Below are 22,561 nucleotides of genomic sequence, written 5' to 3'. Positions count from 1 at the left end.
GGAGAAAGCGAAAAGTTAAAAGGAAACAAAAGTAAGATAAATAGCCAGATGGCCTGGAGCCACCACCTGGTCCTTGTAGTTAAAGAAAAAAATTAAAAAATCTACCCCTGACCTAAACTACTTGTGTTATCTGTAAATTCCAGACATTGTATGAGGAAGCATTGCAAAACTTTCTGTTGTATTAGCTAATGCATGTAGCCCTTAGTTATGTCCCCCATGTTTGCTTGATCTATCATGACCCTTTAACGTGGTCCCCTTAGTGTTGTAAGCCCTTAAAAGGGCCAATAATTTCTTTTTTAGGGAGCTCAGTTCTTAAGACGCAAGTCTGCTGACACTCCCAGCCAAATAAAGCCACTTCCTTCTTTAACCCGGTGTCTGAGGGGTTTTGTCCGCGTCTCGTCCCTCTACAGTTTAGTTACTTGCAAATCAGTTTCTTCATATCAGAGCTTGTTGTTAAGCTTTGTTAGGTAAGGGATATCTAAAGTAGCCTTTATTCTAGGCTGTGCCTGGCTTTGCTTACTCTTATGCATAGCCTTACTTGGAGCTCTACTAAATGCTCTTCTGTCCCACAAGATTTCTCCACTTAAGTCAGTCATAATGCAAATGTCTCTAAATGTTATGAGAGCAGCTTCATATGTTTTTCCTCTATGTATGTGCAGCTCAGTATTCAGCCAAAAATCAATAATTGTGGAGCTCTTTTTTTGCATAGCTCCTCCTCTCTGAAACTCTTCCCTCCCAGTTCTAAGCAACTCAGTCTTCCCAAACTCCAATCTCTATCGCTTCATCTTAGCAAAACTGCTGTTCATTTTTTTTTTTTTTGAAGTTTCGCTCTTGGGTTGCCCAGGCTGGAGTGCAATGGAGCAATCTCGGTTCACTATAACCTCCACCCACCCCAGTTCAAGCAATTAGCCTCCCGAGTAGCTGGCATTACAGGCGCCCACCACCATGCCCAGCTAATTTTTTATATTTTTAGTAGAGATGAGGTTTCACCATGTTGGTGAGATTAGTCTCAAATGCCTGACCTTCAGGTGATCCACCTACCTGGGCCTCCCAAAGTGCTGGGATTATAGGCATGAGCCACAGTGCCCAGCCGCTTTTTTGGGGTTCTCCTTCCAGAACCAGAATCTAGTTATTGCTTCCAAATAGAAGGCCTTCTCTCATAATTACGTTGTCCAAAAATCACATAATCCAATGCTTGAAAAGAGTTTACTCATATGTTTAGTCCAGTTTTCCAGTTTCTTACAGGAGACCTGGTCTGGTGCCAATTATGCCATCTCAGTTGAAAGTAGAAGGTCATATCAATTTTTTAAAATGTTTATAGGATGTATTTGGGTGGTGAAATTTATACTTTGAGTATTTAAAATTAAAACCTGGCCAGGCGTGGTGGCTCACACCTGTAACCTCAGCATTTTGGGAGGCCGAGGCGGGCAGATCACTTGAAGTCAGGAGTTTGAGGCCAGCCTGGCCAACATGGTGAAACTCCATCTCTACTAAAAAATACAAAAATTAGCCGGGCATGGTGGCGGACGCCTGTAATCTCAGCTACTCAGGAGGCTGAGACAGGAGAAAAACTTGAACCTGGGAGGCGGAGGTTGCAGTGAGCGAAGGTTTTGCTACTGTACTCCAGCCTGGGTGACAAAGAGGGACTCTGTCTCCAAAAAAAATTAAATTAAAAGTAAAACCTAACAAACATTATTTTTACAAAAGAAAGCAAGTATGTTTTCACACAAAACATGAAATACACAAATTTATGTCTGTATATTCTCAGTTAGTTTTTTTTAAAAAAAAGGTTCCAAGAGTACTAATGTGGCATTAGCAACATGTTCCAGGTTGTCTAATTAGTCTCTCCTTTTTGGTCCAAGTATAAGAAGAAAGTGGTTCAATAGCAGCCACAGCATTTTAAGAGATGCCCACAGGGCTGTAGCAGTGGTCAGAATTGAAGGGGTTAATCTTCCTTGTATATGAGCGGAACAGAGCACTTAAAACGTAAGAGTTATTTAAAATTCAGCTTAGCTTTATGGTTATTTAGAGTTTGTTTAATTAGTGTTTAGAACTGCACATTTTTTATAGCTATTGGTATTTCAATAGATGCTTAAATGTTTGAACATTTGAAGTTTAATAAGCTTCAGTTATTTGAAGAAAAGCACTGATGTAATTAAATTTTCAATTACTCTTTTTTTAGGAGCCCATGCGATTAATAAAAACTAAGGCATTTTAACAACACTCATTTTAAAAACTAGTCAATGACCTTATTAATTAGCTAACACAGTCGATATTTTGTAATATAAAAGGTTCACCAAGGCAGAGTAGTAACTTTTGAAAAGTACGTATAATGACACATGAGAATAAACAAACATGACTTTGTTTTAGGATTCTTTTGTGCATACACATGAATGTGTGGATCAATTCCAGTTTTCCAAAAACCATTATCGTGCATTGACTCTAATTATTTTTTTGTTTGTTTTTAATTGTGCAGCCAAATTAAAAACAATGACATAATTCTTTGGCCTTAGAGCATTATAGAGGATTCTTACATTCAGGTTAAGAAAAAGAAAGTGGCAGAGGTATACAGATTACGTATAGTCTTATTTGTATTAAACACTAAATTTAAAACGGAGTTGGAGAAAAATCTCTATTTCATATCTTTGCTACCAGAAGATCACCAGCAGCATCAGAAATAAAACATAGAAGCTTGTGATACAAATCTGTGTTAGTCACAGCTCTCCAGACAGGCAGAACAAATTATACAAACATGCATACACACGCACACGCATGCACATGTGTATGTATAAATATATGTGTGTATTTTTTTACTAGATTTATTATTTACTAGATTATTTTGTACTAGATTATTTATTATTTACTAGATTTATTATAGGGAATTTATAATTATAAGGATTTATTATTATAACGCTCATGTGATTATAGAAGCTGACAGGTCCCAAGATCTGCAGTCAACAAGCTGGAGAACCAGAAGAGCCAATGATATAGTTTCAGTCCAAGTCTGAAGGCCCCCGAACCAGGAGAGTAGATGGTGTGGTTCTAATCTAAAAGCAGCCAGACTCAAGACTCAGGAAAAGCCAATATTTCAGTTTGAGTCCAAATGCAGAAAAAAAAAACAAAACGCTGTCCCAGTTTAAAGACAGTCAGAAAGTAGGAATTCCCTCTTACATGTGGGAGGGTCAGTCTTTTATTCTACTCAGACCTTTGACTGATTGGATGAGGCCAATCCACATTAAAGAGGGCAATCTGGCCAGGTGCGGTGGCTCACACCTGTAATCCCAGCACTTTGGGAGGCTGAGGCAGATGGATCACGAGGTCAGGAGATGGAGACCATCCTGGCCAATATGGTGAAACCCCGTCTCTACTAAAAATACAATAATTAGGCTGGGCGCGGTGGCTCACGCCTGTATTCTCAGCACTTTGGGAGGCCGAGGCCGGCAGATCACCTGAGGTCGGGAGTTTGAGACCAGCCTGACCAACATGGAGAAACCCTGTCTCTACTAAAAATACAAAATTAGCCAGGCGTGATGGCACATGCCTGTAATCCCAGATACTTGGGAGGCTGAGGCAAGAGAATCGCTTGAACCTGGGAGGCAGAGGTTTCAGTGAGCCGAGATCGTGCCATTGCACTCCAGCCTGGGCAACAAGAGTGAAACTCTGTCTCAAAAAAAAAAAAAAAAAAAAAAAAAAGGCCAGGCGCGGTGGTTCACGCCTGTAATCCCAGCACTTTGGGAGGCCAAGGCGGGCAGATCACGAGTTCAGTAGATGGAGACCGTCCTGGCTAACACGGTGAAACACCGTCTCTACTAAAAATACAAAAAATTAGCCGGGTGAGGTGGCGGGCGCCTGTAGTCCCAGCTACTCGGGAGGCTGAGGCAAGAGAATGGCGTGAACCCCGGGGGGCGGAGCCTGCAGTGAGCCGAGACCGCGCCACTGCACTCCAGCCTGGGCGACAGCGAGACTCCGTCTCAAAAAAAAAAAAAAAAAAAAAAAAGAAGAGGGCAATCTGCTTTTCTCAATCTACTGATTCAAACGTTAGTCTCACCCCGAAACACCTTCACAGACAGTCAAGGATAATGTTGACCAAATGCCTGGGCACCCCAAAGCACAGTCAAGTTGACACATAAAATTAACTGGCAAAGCAGTCCCACTCCAAAACTTCTGGATCAGAATATGAATTTTCTTTTTCTTTTTTTTTTTTTTTTTGAGACGGAGTTTCGCTCTTGTGTCCCAGGCTGAATGGCATGATCTTGGCTCACCGCAAACTCCACCTCCCAGGTTCAACCAATTCTCTTGTCTCAGCCTCCCAAATAGCTGGGATTACAGGTGCATGCCACCACGCCTGGCTAATTTTTGTATTTGTAGTAGAGATGGGGTTTCATCATATTGGTCAGGATGGTCTGGAACTCCTGACCTCAGGTGATCTGCCTGCCTCAGCCTCCCAAAGTGCTGGGATTACAGGCATGAGCCACCATGCCTGGCCTCATCATATGAATTTTCAAAACCTCCCAGGTGTTTAATGTGCACACTAAAGACTGAGAAGCTCTGCAAAAGCAAGATCAATTTGCTAGTCAGAAAAGAAACTTGCCAGAGTTCTTGCTCTTAAGGAGCCTACAGTCTACTGGGATGGGGGGAAGAAAGCAACCAGTAAACATTCAAATATAATTTCCTGGGATAAGAATGGTGTGGTGATATCTACTCCCTGAATCAAGAAGGGACACTTTATTAAATTGGTAAAGGGGCTGGTCAGAAAAGACAAATTTAGATCCTAAAGAACAAGAATTTAAGGGGCAGAGAGAGAGCAGCTCATCAAGGAGACCAGAAAGAAATGTAGGAAACAAAGAGACGGTAGTATCATGAAAACCAAGAGAAAATGGCCTTTCTAAAAATAATCAGTAGTGTTAGTGTCACTAATCCCATTTAGGCAAATCTCAAAACACCAGTACCATGTTGTACAGAAAGCAGGCACTAAATTGCGTTTATCGTATGAGTTAATGAATAAATGCATATTTGCCTTACTGTTAATCGGTGAAAACCAAGATATAAATTCAAAAGCATCTAATACCCACTCTCATGCTCAGCCACCAGACCCTACAATATCCAAAGAAATAACCATATTGAAAACTAAATTTGAATATATAAACATGTGTGACAAATGCCTAGCTTGAAATCAATTTTAAAAATATTTTAGATATGAATCATATGTTAGTCAATTTTTTAAATATTCACTTCTCTGAAACCAACCTCTGCAAGAGCAACTAGTAGGATTCTTTGTACCCAGTAGGCACTCAATAAATATCTAAATAAAAAGTGTTCTTGATATCACTTATCTCTGCTCCCTCCCAAAGCCTTATTAAAATGATGATAAAGGAATAAAAAATCTATGACCCAAACCAGGCAAGGTGGCTCACACCTGTAATCCCAGCACTGTGGAAGGCTGAAGTGGGAGGATTGTGTGAGGACAGGAGTTCAAGACTGGCCTGAGCAACATAAGGAGACCCCCATCTCTACAAAAAATTTAAAAATTAGCCGGGAATAGTGGTGCATGCCTGTGGCCCCAGCTACTCCAGAGGCTGAAGCAGGAGGGTAGATTGAGCCCAAGGCTGCAGTGAGCCTTGATGGCACCAATGCATTCCAGCCTGGGCAAAACGGTGAGACCCTGTTTCCAAACAAACACAGAAAGAAAGAATGAAAGAAATAAAGAAGGAAGGAAGGAAGGAAGCGTCAGGCGCGGTAGAACGCCTGTAATTCCAGCACTTTGGGAGGCCAAGGCAGACGGATCACCTGAGGTCAGGAGTTCAAGACCAGCCCGATCAACAAGAAGAAACCCCGTCTCTACTTAAAAAAAAAAAATACAAAATTAGCCAGGCGTGGTGGCGCATGCCTGTAATCCCAGTTACTTGGGAGGCTGAGGCAGGAGAATCACTTGAACCTGGGAGGCAGAAGTTGCGGTGAGCTGAGATTGTGCCATTGCACTCCAGCCTGGGCAACAAGAGTGAAACTTTGTCTCAAAAAAAAAAAAGAAAGACAGAGAGAGAGAGAAAGAAAAAGAGAGAGGAAAGAAAGAAAGAAAGAAAGAAAGAAAGAAAGAAAGAAAGAAAGAGAGAGAGAAAGAAAGAAAGACAAAAGGAAGGAAGGGAGGGAGGGAGGAAGGGAGGGAGGAAGGAAATTGACACAGGGGAAGCAAATGGATAAACACCAGCTGACTTAAAGCAAAGAAAGCCAAAAGCAAAGAAAACCAAAAATAGAGAAAACCAACACCTACAGGGAAAGAAGCCAATAAGAAGCAGAGGCCAGGCACAGTGGCTCATGTCTATAATCCCAGCACTTTGGGAGGCCGAGGCAGGTGGATCACTTGAGGTCAGGAGCTCAAGACCAGCCTGGTCAACATGTTGAAACCCTCTCTACCAAAAATAAAAATAAAATACGAAAATTAGCCAGGTGTGGTGGCATACGCCTGTAGTCCCAGCTACTCTGGAGGCTGAGGTGGGAGAATTGCTTGAACCCAGGAGGCAGAGGTTGCAGTGAGCTGAAATTGCGCCATTGTACTCCAGCCTGGGTGACAATCAAGTCAGACTTCTTTTGTCTCAAAAAAACCCAAAAAACAAAAGAAGATGCCAGGCGCGGGGGCTCACACCTGTAATCCCAGCACTCTGGGAGGCCAAGGTGGGCAGATCACGAGGTCAAGAAATCAAGACCATCCTGGCCAACATGGTGAAACCCTGTCTGTACTAAAAATAGAAAAATTAGCTTGGCATGGTGGCACACACCTGTAGTCCCAGCTACTCAGGAGACTGAGACAGGAGAATCGCTTGAACATGGGAGGCAGAGGTTGCAGTGAGCCGAGATCATGCCACTATACTCCCGCCTGGTGACAGAGCAAGACTCCATCTCAGGAAAAAAAAAAAAAAAAAAAAGACGAAGAAGAAGAAGAAGAAGGAGAAGAAAACATATAACAGAACCCTAGAAAGTTACAGGAATGGGGACACCAGGTTCCTCTGGAGTCATCAGGCACCTCCAAGGGCAGAAGTGAGGTATAAAGAGCATGCTGAACAGGGTATTGCAGATTCCCTCCCCTTCTCCAATCAGGTTACAATTCCTCCCCTACCCAGGCAGAAGACGGGACTACCAGGACTACCTGGACTACCTGAAGAAAGGGATAATTCAGTGGAAGCGTATATACTGAAGAGAGAGGTGAAACCCCACCTTCCATTCCCTGCTTTCACCCCCACAAAGTCTTCCTCTGTTCTCTCCAACACTGCTGGCAACCAAACTTATTTTGCCCTTATTCCCTGAAGGAGAGCATAGAAATGGAAGGCCTCAGAAAAAAGACCTACACATAACTGACATTTGGCATCCCCCAATGAAAAGGGCCCTGGTACCTGATTATCCTACAGAAAAACTGTCTTTGTGAGACAAGCCTCCTCTAAAACACAAAAATTCTAATTAAATTTTAGGTGTCTCATTTTTTATATCTTTTTTTTTTTGAGACGGGGTCTCCATGTGTCGCCTAGGTTGGAGTACAGTGGTGTGATCACGGCTCACTGCAGCCTCAACCTGCCGGTCCCAAGTGATCTTGCCACTTTAGCCCTCCAGGTAGCTGAGACCACCAGCACTTGTCACCATGCTCAGTTCATTTTGCTTATTTTTTGTTGAGATGAGGTCTAACTATGTTGCCCACGCTGGTCTCAAACTCCTGGACTTAAGCACCCCTCCCACCTCTAACACAGGGGTGGTGCCACCATGCCCAGCTAACTTTCTATTTTTAGTAGACACAGGGTTTCATCACGTTGCCCAGGCTGGTCTCGACCTCTGGCCTCAAGCGCTCCGCCTGCCTTGGCCTCCCAAAGTGTTGGCATTAGTGGTGTGAGCCACTATGCCCAGCCTAGATGACTCATTCTTAAAAATAAATGGACAACCCTGTATCACTGACTTTTGAGGAAAATATCCCACATGAAAGACAAAACCACAAATTAAAAAATGCAAAAAGGAACATAAGGGGAAACAGAGAAAATGTTAGAAGAAAGAAAGAAAAAGAAAAGGAGGAAGGTGCCGGGAGCGGTGGCTCACGCCTGTAATCCCAGCACTTTGGGAAGCTGAGGCGGGCAGATGACGAGGTCAGGAGATCGAGACCATCCTGGCTAACACGGTGAAACCCCGTCTCTACTAAAACTTAAAAAAATTAGCCAGGCATGGTGGCACATGCCTGTAGTCCCAGTTACTCAGAAGGCTGAGTCAGGAGAATCGGTTGAACCTGAGAGGCAGAGGTTGCAGTGAGCCGAGATCGTGCCACTGTACTCCAGCCTCGGCAACAGAGCGAGACTCCGCCTCAAAAAAAAAAAAAAAAAAAAAAGAAGGAAGGAAGCAGGGAGGGAGGGAGGGAAGGAAACAAAGAGAAGGGAGGAAGGAAACAAAAGAAAGAAAAAGAAAGGCAGGCAGGAAGGAAAGGAAAACCTCCTCAGAGAGACGAAAGAAAGCATGACATCTTGCAAGAACAGGATACAGTGAAAAAGGAACATTCAACCATCAATAAAAAACATACCTGGGCCAGGGGCAGTGGCTCACGCCTGTAATCCCAACACTTCAGAAGGCCGAGGCAGGTGGATCATGAGGTCAGGAGTTCGAGATCAGCCTGACCAATATGGTTAAACTTCCGTCTCTACTAAAAATACAAAAGTTAGCCGGGCGTGGTGGTACGCACCTAGAGTCCCAGCTACTCGGGAGGCTGAGACAGGAGAATCGCTTGAACCCGGGAGGCGGAGGTTGCAGTGAGCTGACATCGCACCATTGCACTCCAGCCTGGGTGACAGAGTGAGACTCCATCTCAAAAAAAAAAAAAAAAAAAAAAAACATACCTGCAGGCTGAGTGCAATGGCTCATGCCTATAATCCCAGCACTTTAGCAGGCCTAGGTGGTGGGTGGGGGAAGATCACTTGAGGCCAGGGGTTTGAAACCAGCCTGTGCAACATAGTGAGATCCCTGTCTCTACAAAAAATAAAAAAATTTAACCAGGTGTGGTGGTGCACATTTGTAGTCCCAGCTACTTGGGATGCTGAGGTGGGAGGATCATTTGTGCCCAAGAATTCAAGGCTGCAATGAGCTAAATCATGCCAATGCACTCCAGCCTGGGAGAGACTTTGTCTGTCTCTAAAAAAGAAAGAAAGAAACTGGGGCCTAGCATGGTGGCTCATGCCTGTAATCCCAGCACTTTGGGAGGTCAAGGCAGGTGGAGCACTTGAGGCCAGGAGGTTGAGACCAGCCTGGGCAACGTGGTGAAACCCCATGTCTACTAAAAATAGAAAGTTAGCCGGGCATGGTGGCGCACCCCTGTAATCCTAACTACTTGGGAGGCTGAGGCCTGGGAATAATAGCTTGAACCCGGGAGGTGGAGGTTACAGTGAGCCAAGGTCGGGCCACTGCTGACAGAGCAAGACCCTGCTCAAAATAATTAATTAATTAATTAAAAAAGTAATGGAGCAATGCCTTCTCCATTGAGATGAAATCAGTCCCAACCTAGAGTATTAACCTGAGCCAAATCACCAATCAAGGTGAGAGGAGAAGTTTCATAGATACTTTGTTTCCAAAACTTTACCTCCCATATATCTTTTCTCAGATAGTTATTGGTTGATATGTTTCACTACAAGAGGGATATAGGGCAAGAAGGGGAAGACATGGAGCCCAGGAAGCAGGATTTCTAACACAGGGAAGGGAGGAAGGGATTTCCTAGGAAAAAAAAAAAGCTGTATAGTACGCCCAAAGAGCAATGAGTTGACACAGCAGGAGAATCTCAGAGATCCAGAAAAGATACCACCCAGTAAAAAAAAAAAAAAAAAATCAGACTTAGAAATTACCTGATTAGCTTCCCCACATTGAGAATTTTACAGTTCTGTTGGAAAGTCTAGGAAGGAAGTGGTATCAAATATACAGAAAAGTAAACCAAAGAAGAATGCATTGGTTAATATATGATTGAGTCTTGTCCCAAAAGTTAAATAAAATATAAAATATAACCAAAGTGCACTGTATGGCTCAGCTCTAAATAGTATTTATACAATCGGATTAATATTAATACTGAAAATTGATTTAATGAAAATTATGATAGAATTTCTCTCCGTGTTGAGAGAATGAGGGAAGGGAAATACATACTGATGGTGGGAGGAGGCCAGGGACAGGGAGAAGTAGAAGGGAGTTCAGTGCTTATCTTCATAAAAGTGAGTCGACTATAACTGAGAATGAAAAATCAAGCTTCAGGAGTATGAACATCGCCGGGCACGGTGGCTCACGCCTGTAATCCCAGCACTTTGGGAGGCCGAGGCAGGCAGATCACCTGAGGTTGGGAGTTCGAGACCAGCCCGGCCAACATGGAGAAACTCCGTCTCTACTAAAAATACAAAATTAGCCGGGTGTGGTGGTGGGCGCCTGTAGCCCCAGCTACTCAGGAGGCTGAGGCAGGAGAGTCGCTTGAACCCAGGAGGTGGAGGTTGTGGTGAGCCGAGATCACACCATTGCACTCTAGCCTGGGCATCAAGAGTGAAACTCTGTCTCAAAAAAAGAAAAAGAGTATAAACATGTTATTTTGAAGAAGCTGCTACAAGTCGAAGCAGTTGCTTCTGGGGAGCAGTAATTAAGTAAGGGCCAGTTGAGGTGAAGCAGGAGATTCGTTTTTTTTCAAATTTTGTTGAACTATTATAATTTTAAGTGATGTGCTGCCATTACTTTGTTAAAAATTAAAAACTGAAAATATATTTGTAAATAAATAATTTGAAACAACAAAAATAAACCAAATACAAAGAAAATATTCTGAAAATCCCAATACAGTAGATGATGTAGGTAATCAGAATGTCTTGTGGACGTGCAGTCCTCTTTATATCTAACACACTGGATCACATCCCCTCCTCCAGCTTCTCCAGACCCCTACTCAGCACAATTCCTTGCACATAGACCCCAAGAGATCAAACCATCAGTGAGCATACCTAAATATTGCTCTTAGCGCCATCTAGGGACTAAAACAAAAAATAAGGCTTGAGTTCCTGCCTTGCTTTCAAGTTCCAAGAAATTTATATTATCTGTTACATGCAAGCAACAGATAACAATATAATTAATCCAATTAAATACTAAATTTATGGCATAAATGCTATGGAGTTGTCAGACGTTAGATTAGGGAGAATGTGGCTGGAGCACTGAGAGGCAACACAGAAAATGGAGAGGAAAAGCATGGAGGCAGAGGTTGGGCTTTATTGCAGTGCTTTGTAGGTCTTGTCAAGATTTGGAGGGTTTATCCCAAGTGTAATGGAAAGGCATTAAAAGGATCCCATTAAAAGAGTGGCACTATTTTAAGAAAATCACCCTGATCATTGGATGAAGGTTGGACTGAAGAGAGGCAAAAACCAAGGGGTAATAGCTAAGATGCTATTAATGTGGTTCCAGTGACAGGGCATGGAGGTTTAGATCAGGAGGTGGATGTGAATATATGGATTATTAAAGATACAATATAGAAGTAGAATCAATAAGATTTGCTGATGTCTTCCTCTTGTAGAGGACAGAGGAGAGGGACTAGGAGAAAGAAGGAGCTAAGGATAACCCCCAGAATTACGATTTGAGCAATCGGATGAATGGTGGTTTCACTGGGGTGGCTTCCCCTATGGGGAAAGACTGGGAAAGGTACAGGTTTTAGAGAGGACATTCAAAAGTTAAGCATTAAGCCAGACACGAAGGCTCACGCTTGTAATCCGAGGACTTTGGGAGGCCAAGGCAGGCTGATCACTTGAGCCCAGGAGTTTGAGACCAGCCCAGGCAACATGGTGAAACTCTACAAAAAATACAAAATTTAACCACGTGTGATGGTACATGCCTGTGGTTCCAGCTACTTGGGAGGTTGAGGTGGGGGAATCACCTGAGCCTGGGAGACGGAGGTTGCAGTGAGCTGAGATCACACCACTGCATTCCAGCCTGGGTGACAGAATAAGACCCTGTTGAAGAAAAGAAGAAGGAGAAGGAGAAAAGGAAAAGGAGAAGGAGGAGAAGTAGTTAGGCATTAAACAAGTTAAGATGCAAGGCACAGTGGCTCATGCCTATAATTCCAGCACCGTGGGAGGCCGAGGTGGGAGGATCACTTGAGCCTAGGAGTTCAAGACCAGCCTGGACAACATGGCAAAACCCATTTCTACTAAATATACAGAAAAATTAGCCGGGCATGGTGTTGCATGCCTGTAGTTCCCGCTACTTGAAAGGCTGAGGCAGGAGGATCCCTTGAGCAGGGTGAGACTACAGTGAGCCATGATTGCACCACTGCACTCCAGCCTGAATGACAGTGAAACCCTGTCTCAAACACACACACACACACACACACACACACACAATGCAGATACTTGCAACACCCCAGTAGATATGTCAAGTAATCAGTTGATCCATTGTCCTACCCATATTTTATCTTCTGGATCATTGGTCTGGGGCTTAACAAAGAAGTCCAGTTGAGGTAGGTTGGGGGAGTTTTTGGTATATAGATAGTATTAGAAGTTTGGCCGAGCATGGTGGCTCATGCTTGTAATCCCAGCACTTTGGGAGGCCAAGGCAGGCGGATCACCTGAGGTCAGGAGTTCAAGACCTGCCTGACCAACATGGAGAAACCCCATCTCTACTAAAACAAACAAACAAATTAGCTGGGCATGGTGGCACATGCCTGTAATCCCAGGTACTCGGGAGGCTGAGGCAGGAGAATCACTTGAAACCAGGAGGCAGAGGTTGCGGTGAGCCAAGATCACACCATTGCACTCCAGCCCGGGCAACAAGAGCAAAACTCCGACTCAAAAAAAAAAAAAAAGAAGAAGAAGAAGTCGGCCAGGCATGTTGGTTCATGCCTGTTATCCTAGCACTTTGGGAGGCTGAGGGGGGAAGATTGCCTGAGCTCAAAAGTTCGAGACCAAACTGGGCAACATGGTGAAACCCTGTCTCTACTAAAAATACAAAAAGTTAGCTGGGCATGGTGGCGCATAACTGCAGTCCCAGCTACTCGGGAGGCTGAGGCAGGAAAATCACTTGAACCCGGCAGGTGGAGGCTGCAGTGAGCTGAGATCATGCCACTGCACTCCAGCCTGGGCGACAGAGCAAGACTCTGTCTCCAAAAAGATAAATTTTTAAAAGATAGTACTAGAAGTCATGAAAATATATGAGAACGTTTACGGCTGTGTTTTTCAAACGTAGAGTTCGTGCTTAAAGTGCAAGTTTCAAGAAATCATCCCGGGGGTTTCTGATTCAGTGTCTTCATGAGGCCCAAGAATCTGCTCTATTAAAGGGTAACCCAAAAGATTCTGAGGCGGGTAGTTCATGCTGAGATTAAAATAGGCTTAAGTACAATCCGGAGGTGAGGAATTAGCAACAACATGTGTAGCCAACCTTTTCTAGAAGATGGAGAGAAATAAACAGAGGCTGGTAACCATAATGGGTATGAAGCCAGAGGGTTACCTTTTTGTGTATTATTAGTTTTTAAAAGGTAGGAGATACTAGAGCTGTGGTTCATAACCTTGGCTACACACTGTAATCACCTCTTGAGCTTTCTAAAAATACTGATGCATAGAACTCATCCCAAGCCAGTAATTCTGAACCTCTAGGAATGAGATCCAGGTAGAAGTATTTTTTAACTTTATTTTTATTTTTCCTTCCCCCCGCCCCCACGTTGTTTTTATCTCCCCAGTGCCTGGCAGACAAATGTGTCCTCAATTCATGTTCATCGCTGTGGAAAGAATTGCTGGCCAGTAGCAGGTGATACAGACCACGGTAAACCACTTAATGTATTGTAGAGCTCATGTAATCTTCGTGTGAAAAAGATTACAGTCCAATTCCCTGACTTTCAGATGGAGAAACTGAAGCCCAAGAGGGGAATTAAATGCCTAAGATCTCTCGCCTTAGTGATGGCAAATCAGGATCAGAAGCCAATATTCTAACTAACTCCCAGGTCAATGTTTTCCTGTCTTTCAACAATCTAATTTTGACCACTCCCCAAATCCATTCACCCAATCAAGATCCAGAGTCTAATAACACCTCCCCGTCAATACCTCATTTCCTCAATCAGGAACCGACCCTGCCGTCCCTTTCATCCGACCCGTTGTCACCCCCAAACCCGCCTGTGTCTCATTTATTTTTCCCTCCATCACGGCTGCAAGCCCAGCCCGGGATTTAACCACCTCGGCCGAGCGCCTCTCACTGCGTTTGCGCTTCTCTAGTAGCGGACTCTGTCGCCATAGCAACCGGAGACTCGGAATCGTCCCGCAGCAACAGTAGGAGAGGGGTTCTTGGTATAATCATGTTTTATATATGCGTTCCTTACCGCTTCCCGCGCCTGATGCGTGAATTTCAGGGTCTGGTAGGAAAGCTCCATCAGACACTGTGCTAGGACCCTAGAGAAGGGAGAAAAGTAGTCAGTTACTGGGCTGACCGGTCGATCCAAGGAACCTGACGCTTAACCAGCCCGCCCCTTTCCGGATTGGCTAGAGCCCAGACACGCCCGCCAATCGCTGGCCACAGAAGGATTCTTTAACATGCCAATCAATGTTAGACCATGCATGTTTAATCCAGAGTGTTTGCATGACACTGGCCAATGAAGAGATCGAAGAGGGAAGATTGTTAGAGCACAGGGCGGGCTTTGCAATTGTTTTGGTTTTCTTAATTCGTTTCTAAAATACAAGCTGACCCAGGGCCATGTACCATAATATTTGTCCTTGATTTCAGCCGTTGTTCAGGTCTTTGCGACCCAATGCTTCTATACCCAAGACTATATTTTGACGTCCCGTCTTCTCCTCCCTGGATTAGGGTAAAGGTTTGGAAATCTATTCTGCTTTTCTTTGAAATTCTCTGTGCATGGTCTATCTAGACTGGACGAATCTGCTGTGGACACTTTGGTTGTCAAGAGCCTTCTGGGATGCAAACTGTGCATCACCAAACTTCCCCTTCTCCTCCAATTCCTTTCACATCAGACCTGTTCTCATTAGACGTGGAAAAACATGGACGTGTTTTCCTCTGCTCTATTTTTTTCATGTGTTAACTAGTCTGTTTCTTCAATGTCTTTCCCTTCTGTCTCTCTTGCTGTGAATCCTATTCCAAATTATCCCTTCATCATTATCTTCGGTCTTCTTCATCCATTTCTTCTTCATCCATTTCTCCCTTCAGGATACAAAAATATTCAAGTTTCCTCAATCTACAAAAAAAAAAAAGTTCTCGTAAGTGTTGAACTGAATCACCTTTCTCCCATTCAGGGCAAGCTTTCTGAAAGGACTAGCTATCCTCTTCCTCATTTCCTCACCTTCCACCCATTTCTCAACACATTCTGGTCCTGCTCCTTTGAAGCAGTTCTTTCCAGAGTCGTCAATAACTTCCTAATTGGGAAATCCGATTACAGATTATTTAATATTCTTTATCTTATTCCAACTTGGCACCATGTGAAATTGTTGACCACTTTCTAATTAATAATCATAACTGTAATTTATTAAACATCTACAGCACCAACGTACTATGCGATTTACTTGGCTATCTAATATAATCCTAACACAACATGGAGAAGTTATTAATGCCCCAATTTGCAGTTATGCAAACAGGCCCAAAAAGCCAAATTATTAATAAGTAGTTCTAGATAGAGTTAGGATGCAAACCTGTTTCCTGACTGAAGCCAGTGCTCTTTTCACTATGCCTTGCTTCCACCCTTCCTGTCCAGTCTCACCTCTAATTCCCACCTGGATACAGGCAACCCCACTCTAACACAAGCGAACTGCTTACAATGCTTGTGAATGACTAATGAGTAGTTTATTTGGCTTGGAGAACCACTCTCACCCCTGCTGCATAAGAAAAGTCTATATTGCCTGCTAAGACAGCTCAAATGTCACTTTCTAGGATAACTCAATGGCGTTTTCTTCTAACAATCACTATACTTAACCTAGGCGAAGCTTAGGCAGAGAACAAATTAGTTCCTGATTCCACAACATACTTTTCATACTGCACTTATCACATTGTTTTGTTGACATATGGTTTTCAAAAAGTTAAAAATGTGATTCTTTGATATGAATGAACACCTGTCAATGATTTTGCCTAACTCATTAATGAGGGAGCCAATAAGATGGTAAAGCTGGTTTAAAGAGCATTATAAGGAACTGAATATTTACAGACATTTTTAGAAAACAATGTTAGTATAGTGTCCCTTAGCATCTACTGGAAACTGGTTCTATGGTTCCCACTGATACCAAAGTTGGGGATCCTTATGTGAAATGCCATGCTACTTGCATGTAAGTACGCACATCATCCTGTATACTTTATTTATTTATTTATTTATTTTTTGAGACAGAGTCTTGCTCTGTTGCCCAGGCTGGAGTGCAGTTGCACGATCTTGGTTCACTGCAACCTCCGCCTCCCGGATTCAAGCAATTCTCTGCCTCAGTCTCCTGAGTAGCTGGGATTACAAGTGCACGCCACCACGCCCAGCTAATTTCCATATACTTTATTTTTTATTTTTATTTATTTATTTATTTTGAGACGAAGTCTCGCTCTGTTGCTCAGCCTGGAGTGCAGTGGCGTGATCTCGGCTCACTGCAACCTCTGCCTTCCTAGTTAAAGCGATTCTCCTGCCTCAGCCTCCTGAGTAGCTGGGATTACAGGCACCTACCACCACATCCAGCTAATTGTTGTATTTTTAGTACATGTGGGGTTTCACCATGTTGGCCAGGCTGGTCTCGAACTCCTGACCTCAAGTGATCCACCCCCACCCCTTGGCCTCCCAAAGTGCTGGGATTACAGGTGTGAACCGCTGCTCCCAACCCATCCCGTATACTTGAAAACATCTCTAGATTGCTATAATACCAAATACAATGTAAACTCTGTGTTAATACTCATTATACCGCGTTTTTTATTTGTATTAATTTTTATTGTTGTACTACTTATTTTTAATATTTTCAATTCTTTGTTGGTTGAATCCCCAGATGCCAAACCCATGGGTACAGAAGGCCAACTTTATAAGACTGCTAGGTTAGATACAAAACTTGTTAATGTCTTACAAGGCAATGAAACTATAACCTTTGAAATTGTCTTTTCTAAGGGACACAAATCTGCTAGTTAACATTTTGCTACAGAAATATTTTCAAAGAGCTTCTTCCTCTGGCCATATCAAGTAACTAGTACTGGACTAGACCTGCTACTCTAAACAACTAGAAAACTAGACCACTACACAACAAACCAGACAAGATAAATGAGAAATAGTTTTCGCAAATAAGACAATAGGCATCACAGAACTGAGATACAAGAGGGAAGAAAAACAATTAAGGTGAGCCCTACAATCATGCTAGATCTCTGTGTGGAAGTCCTTTTTGGACTTTAGTACAGGAAGAAGGAACAAAAATAGAGCATGTTAGCTTCACTAAGTTGGGAGGTAGAAGTTTGGGGATGCTAAATCAGGTTAAACTTGCAGGACAAATTGTTAACAGAAAGGAGTCCTGATGCAGACCCCAAAAGAGGGTTCTTAAATCTTGCACAAGGAAGAATTCAGGGTGACTCCATAAAGTGAAAGCAAGTTTATTAGGAAAGTAAAGGAATGGCTACTCCATAGGCAGGGCAGCCCTGATGGCTGCTGGTTGCCCATTTTTTGGTTATTTCTTGATGATATGCTAAACAGGGGGTGGATTATTCATGCCTCCCCTTTTTAGACCATATTGGGTAACTTCCTAACATTGCCATGGCATTTGTAAACTGTCATGGTGCTGGTGGGAGTGTAGCAGTGAGGATGACCAGAGGTCACTCTCATCGCCATCTTGGTTTTGGTGGATTTTGGCCAGCTTCTTTACTGCAACCTGTTTTATCAGCAAGGTCTTTGTTCTGTATCTTGTGCTGACCTCCTATCTCATCCTGTGACTTAGAATGCCTTAACCTTCTGAGAATGCAGCCCAGTAGGTCTCAGCCTCATTTTACCCAGCTTCTATTCAAGATTGAGTTGCTGTAGTTCAAATGCCTGACAAAATTACTGGAAAAGAATGAGTACACAGAAAAAAAATTCTAGAAATTTGTATAGGAGTCTCCTTGGGTCTTTGGATGGATTCTAACTTGTGTGTGCCAAGGATGAGAGTCTATGAGACCATACACATCAAAAAACGCGGAAAGAACAACTTCCGGAGTGCTGCAAGTAGAAAAATTACCATTACTCCCACAGGCCTGAGAGAAATTCACAGTTGGAGTAATCAGAGTACTACTCCAAACCCTGTTGGCGAAACCCTGACAAGGTTTAAAACAAACCTCAAAAGGATAGAGTTGATCTGCAAGTAACTTATCTGCCTGACAAAATAAAACCCGGCATTCTTTAAAGGAAGAAAACAAAATTTAGGTACTCAACAACATCTTATTCACAATATCCAACATCCAACCAAAATTGCTAGATATGCAAAAAAAAAAAATTACAAAAGCAGAATAATGTGACCAATGAACAGGAGAAAAATAAATCATTAGAATCATATCCAGGAATTACAGAGATGATAGAATAGCAGACAAGGACTTTAAAATAACTATTATTGTAATCAAGAAAGGAAAACTATGAGCATAATGAGGAGACAGATAGAAGATATTATAATAGAACAAAATGAACTTTTGTTTGTTTGTTTGTTTGAGATGGAGTCTTGCTCTGTTGCCAGGCTGGAGTCTGGAGTGCAGTGGTGCAATCTCAGCTCACTGCAACCTCCGCCTCCAAGGTTTAAGTTATTCCCCTGCCTCAGCCTCCCAAGTAGCTGGGATTACAGGCACGCACCACCACGCCCGGCTAATTTTTGTATTTTAGTAGAGACAGGGTTTCTCCATGTTGGCCAAGATGGTCTCAATCTCCTGACCTCGTGATCCGCCCACCTCGGCCTCCCAAAGTGTTGGGATTACAGGCGTGAGCCACCATGCCTGACCCAAAATGAACTTCTGAAATTAAAAATTTACTGGATGAGCTTAACAGCTGATTAGAATTGCAGAAAAAGGATTAGTGAACTTGGTAATGTAACAGCAGAAACTATACAAGGTGAAATATATGGAGAACAAAACAAAAGGCTGTATTAGATATGAGTTCTAAATTTCTTTTCAAAGAATATGTCAGTATCTTCAATTATTTGCCTTCTACTTTTAAACTTAACTTCCTCATAGAGCAACCTTTTTCGATTACCTACTCCACCTTGACTCATTCCGATTACCTGATACCTGCTCTGCCCTGACTCCCGCCAAAGCACTCACCCTTTAATTTAAATTAGCCAATCGGAATTAGTTTAGCCTGTGCCCTGTAACCCTAGCTGGTAGGAAACGACACAGCAACAGGCGCACCCCTTCCCCTCCCCTGTCCAAGTGTGCGCTCACCATTGCTCCATCTGTAAGGGTAGGCACCCTTCTATAGAAGTAACTTGCCTTGCTGAGAATTAAAAAGAAAATTTTATATTCGAGTGCTATTCCTTTTGCCACACCAAAACTTTATGTGTAACAGTTGGAAAACAAGAATAAACAGAGCCTTTTTAGGATAATATTAGGCATTCTAATGTGTGCAAAATTGACTCCAAAATGGAAGAAAGCAGCACTTTTTTTGAAGAAATTATTTACACACCTATAGTCCCAACTACTCAACAGGAGTGAGACCCTGTCTCAAAAAAGAGAAACAAAATTATACTATTAGGTGGATACGAAAATAGAGCTCAAGCCTACCATTTGTTTCTCAAGGCACTTTATTTTTATTTTTATTTTTTGCTTTTCCTCCCCACCCCTCCCCACCTCCAAGGCACATTATTTTTTAAAGTATTGAAAAAATATAATCCAATTTTAGTTGGAGAAAACCAATTATTCCACTTATTCTTTCTGTGACAGCAAGGATGTTTTGTAAGGTGATTTCTGAATGGGCTTTTGTTTGTTTGTTTTTTGTTTTTTGAGATGGAGTCTGGCTTTGTTGCCCAGGTTGGCATGCAGTGGCATGATCTCGGCTCAGTGCAACCCCCACCTCCTGGGATCAAGCGATTCCCCTGCCTCAGCAGCCCCCCTACCCCTACCCCCAGTAGCTGGGATTACAGGTGCTTGCCATCTCACCTGACTAATTTTTGTATTTTTATTAGAGATGGGGTTTCACCATGTTGGCCAAGCTGGTTTCAAACTCCTCACCCCAGGTAATCCACCCGCTTTGGCATCCCAAAACGCTGGGATTCTGAGTGTTTTTTAATCATAAGTTTTTTTGTTTGTTTGTTTTTGGAGACAAGGTCTTGCTCTCTCAGGCTGGAGTGCAGTGGCACCATCACAATAGCTCACTGCAGCCTGGAACTCCTGGGTTCAAGTGATCCTCCCACCTCAGCCTCCCAACTATGTGGGACTATAGGAGTATGCCACCATACACAGGTAATTTTTAAATTTTTCTGTAGAGCAGGAGTCCAGCTATGTTAGCCAGGCTGATGTCAAACTCCTGGCCTCAAGTGATTGTCCCAACTCGGCCTCCCAAAATGCTGGGATTATGGCTAATCATAAGCTTTTTGTTTTATTAACTCTGTTCAAATCATACATTAATTCATCAAACCCTTTCTCTCCTTGTCCCCTCCCTACCTTGGAATTCTGTCTTCATAGCCTCATTCATGTCAAACTGTCTTCAGCAGAGCTTCTCTAGGCATGCAAGATTGAGAGGGAGTTTTCAAGAATGACAAGAAATGTGCCTGCCTAACTGCAAACCTTGTGACAGTCAACTACAAGCCATCTCTGAATATATATTGTTAAAACTCCATTTTTCTATGTTTCTAAAAAATGTATCCTGTCATTCTTTAAACACTGTCAACTCTGTCAAAGAGAGAGAGAGCGTTTTAATCACACAGACATTCTGTGTTGGTATATATCCTCTCTGCCAAAGATTGTTGGAATGTAAGACTAAAGAGCTTTTATTGGATCTTATCCACAAACAGAGTGAAATCTGGTTTTTGCCCCATCACTGTGTTATTTTCTAATTTACCCTGAATGGTATCACAATGTTGGCCCTGTCTTCCCAACTTCATCTCTACTGCAGTCCTATTACTGGCCTTCCTGTAGCCCCACATAACAGTTCAGAGCTCTGCTCTGGAGTCATACAGGCCAGGGCTGGAATCTTGCCCCATCACTAACTCCTAATTTTAGGAAAGGTATTGGACCTGTTCAAACTTTGTTTCTTCATATGCAAAATGGGAACAGTAATAATCTCTCATAATGTGGTAGGGATTAAATGAGACAAGGAGTGGAAAGGACTGCCTTACTCAAGTTTCCTTGATTTAGAGATTGTTTGCTTTTTTTGTCTGTAAGAGACTGAATAATCAACAAAACAAAGAGACTTAGCTCTGTTAGTTTTAAAAATGAAGGGGGTGTATTTTACTGGAAGGATAGCAGGGTAACCTATGTCATTAAGCCAAGGAAACATTGAGCAACAAGGTTCAGAAAGGGCAGAGACCAGTGTAGCTTCAGGGGCCTCAACAGCTGTTCCCTTCACTCCAAAGTGTCCTGCCATTAGTATGACTCATCTTCAAACTTCTTTAGCCTACACATCAATCAGCTCAAACTTGCAAGGAAAAGAATGCTGTCTCTGACTAATGGATGGACTTTTCTCTCAATCAGTGTTGCTTTCAAATCAAATCAACTGTGGCTAGCATGCAAGATCTCAGATATGAATAGGTCTGCAGGGCCTATAAGAAGGAAAACAAAGTTGACATGCACCCCAAAAAGTATGTGATTCCAGTGCTTGGAAATGCCTGGCACACGATGAATACTTTATGGGTTTTGGCTATTAGTGTTGTGACTGTTGATAGAATACCCTGTAAGTTTCAGCCTCCATACATTTGATTCTGCCATATTTTACCACTGAGATGACATCCCTTCTCTTTTTGAATGAAAATAAATCATTCTTTTCTTTTCTTTTTTTTTTTTTTAATTGTGAGATGCAGTCTCATTCTGCCGCTCAGGCTGGAGTGCAGTGGCACAATCTCGGTTCACTGCAACCTCCGCCTCCCGGGTTCAACAATTCTCCTGCCTCAGACTCCCAAGGCACTGCAGGTGCGTGCCACCACACTCAGCTAATTTTTGTCTTTTTAGTAGAGACGGGGTTTCACCATGTTGGCCAGGATGGTTTTGATCTCCTGACCTTGTGATCTGCCCGCCTCGGCCTCCCAAAGTGCTGGGATTATAGGCATGAACCACCATGCCTAGCCTCATTTCGTCATTTATTCTGAAAATACTTATTTCATACTTGACGTGAGTCAATCAATGGGGATAGAATAGAGAATAAAGTCCCTGCCTTCACTGAACTTATATGCTAGCAAAGGACTGGGGGTGCAGGAATTGATCATACCCATAATACATGTATTAATATAATTTGAGGTAGTGATATATTCCATAAAGAAAATCAAGCAGTTTGAGAGGATAGATAATGATACTGGAGGAAGGATAGTGACACTAAGTGAACCAGGGATAAAGGGAGTTGAAACAAGGGACTGCGGAATGTGATAAGGCATTTGATTCTTATTTTTAGAGTAATGTAAACCCATTGAAAGATTTTGAATAGGAGGGTGGTGAGATCTAATTT

General features: G+C 42.8%; 1 protein-coding gene across 23 annotated transcripts in view, besides 1 other annotated feature; it reads right to left on the bottom strand.

Annotated features, from left to right (window-relative positions):
• Positions 1 to 22,561, bottom strand: part of KATNAL2 (katanin catalytic subunit A1 like 2) — a 184,650-nt gene that overhangs the window by 140,997 nt on the left and 21,092 nt on the right. For 16 of the 23 annotated variants that reach the window (NR_148563.1, NM_001353899.1, NM_001353900.1 and 13 more), the window contains exons 2-3: positions 14,972 to 15,190; positions 14,324 to 14,393 (exon numbers count right to left, since the gene is read on the bottom strand). Coding sequence is in view for 14 of the 23 variants with exons in the window: in NM_001353899.1 (NP_001340828.1) it covers positions 14,324 to 14,393; positions 14,972 to 15,030 (129 nt within the window). In the remaining 9 variants the exon portion in view is untranslated. Of the gene's footprint in view, positions 1 to 14,323; positions 14,451 to 14,700; positions 15,191 to 22,561 lie in introns of those variants that run through there. The other 7 variants (NM_001353904.1, NM_001353901.1, NM_001353907.1 and 4 more) reach the window with 3 other exon arrangements.
• Positions 14,394 to 14,553: a silencer, noted in NCBI's record as "silent region_9423". NCBI's record gives its function as "represses an Ori minimal core promoter by ATAC-STARR-seq in GM12878 lymphoblastoid cells {active_cell/tissue: GM12878}" and the evidence as "EXISTENCE:reporter gene assay evidence [ECO:0000049][PMID:35858748]".

Source organism: Homo sapiens, chromosome 18, assembly GCF_000001405.40.
Source record: "Homo sapiens chromosome 18, GRCh38.p14 Primary Assembly".
NCBI lineage: Eukaryota > Metazoa > Chordata > Mammalia > Primates > Hominidae > Homo > Homo sapiens.
The sequence above is the reverse complement of the archived record's forward strand: the minus strand, read 5'-3'. Positions and strand labels throughout refer to the sequence as shown.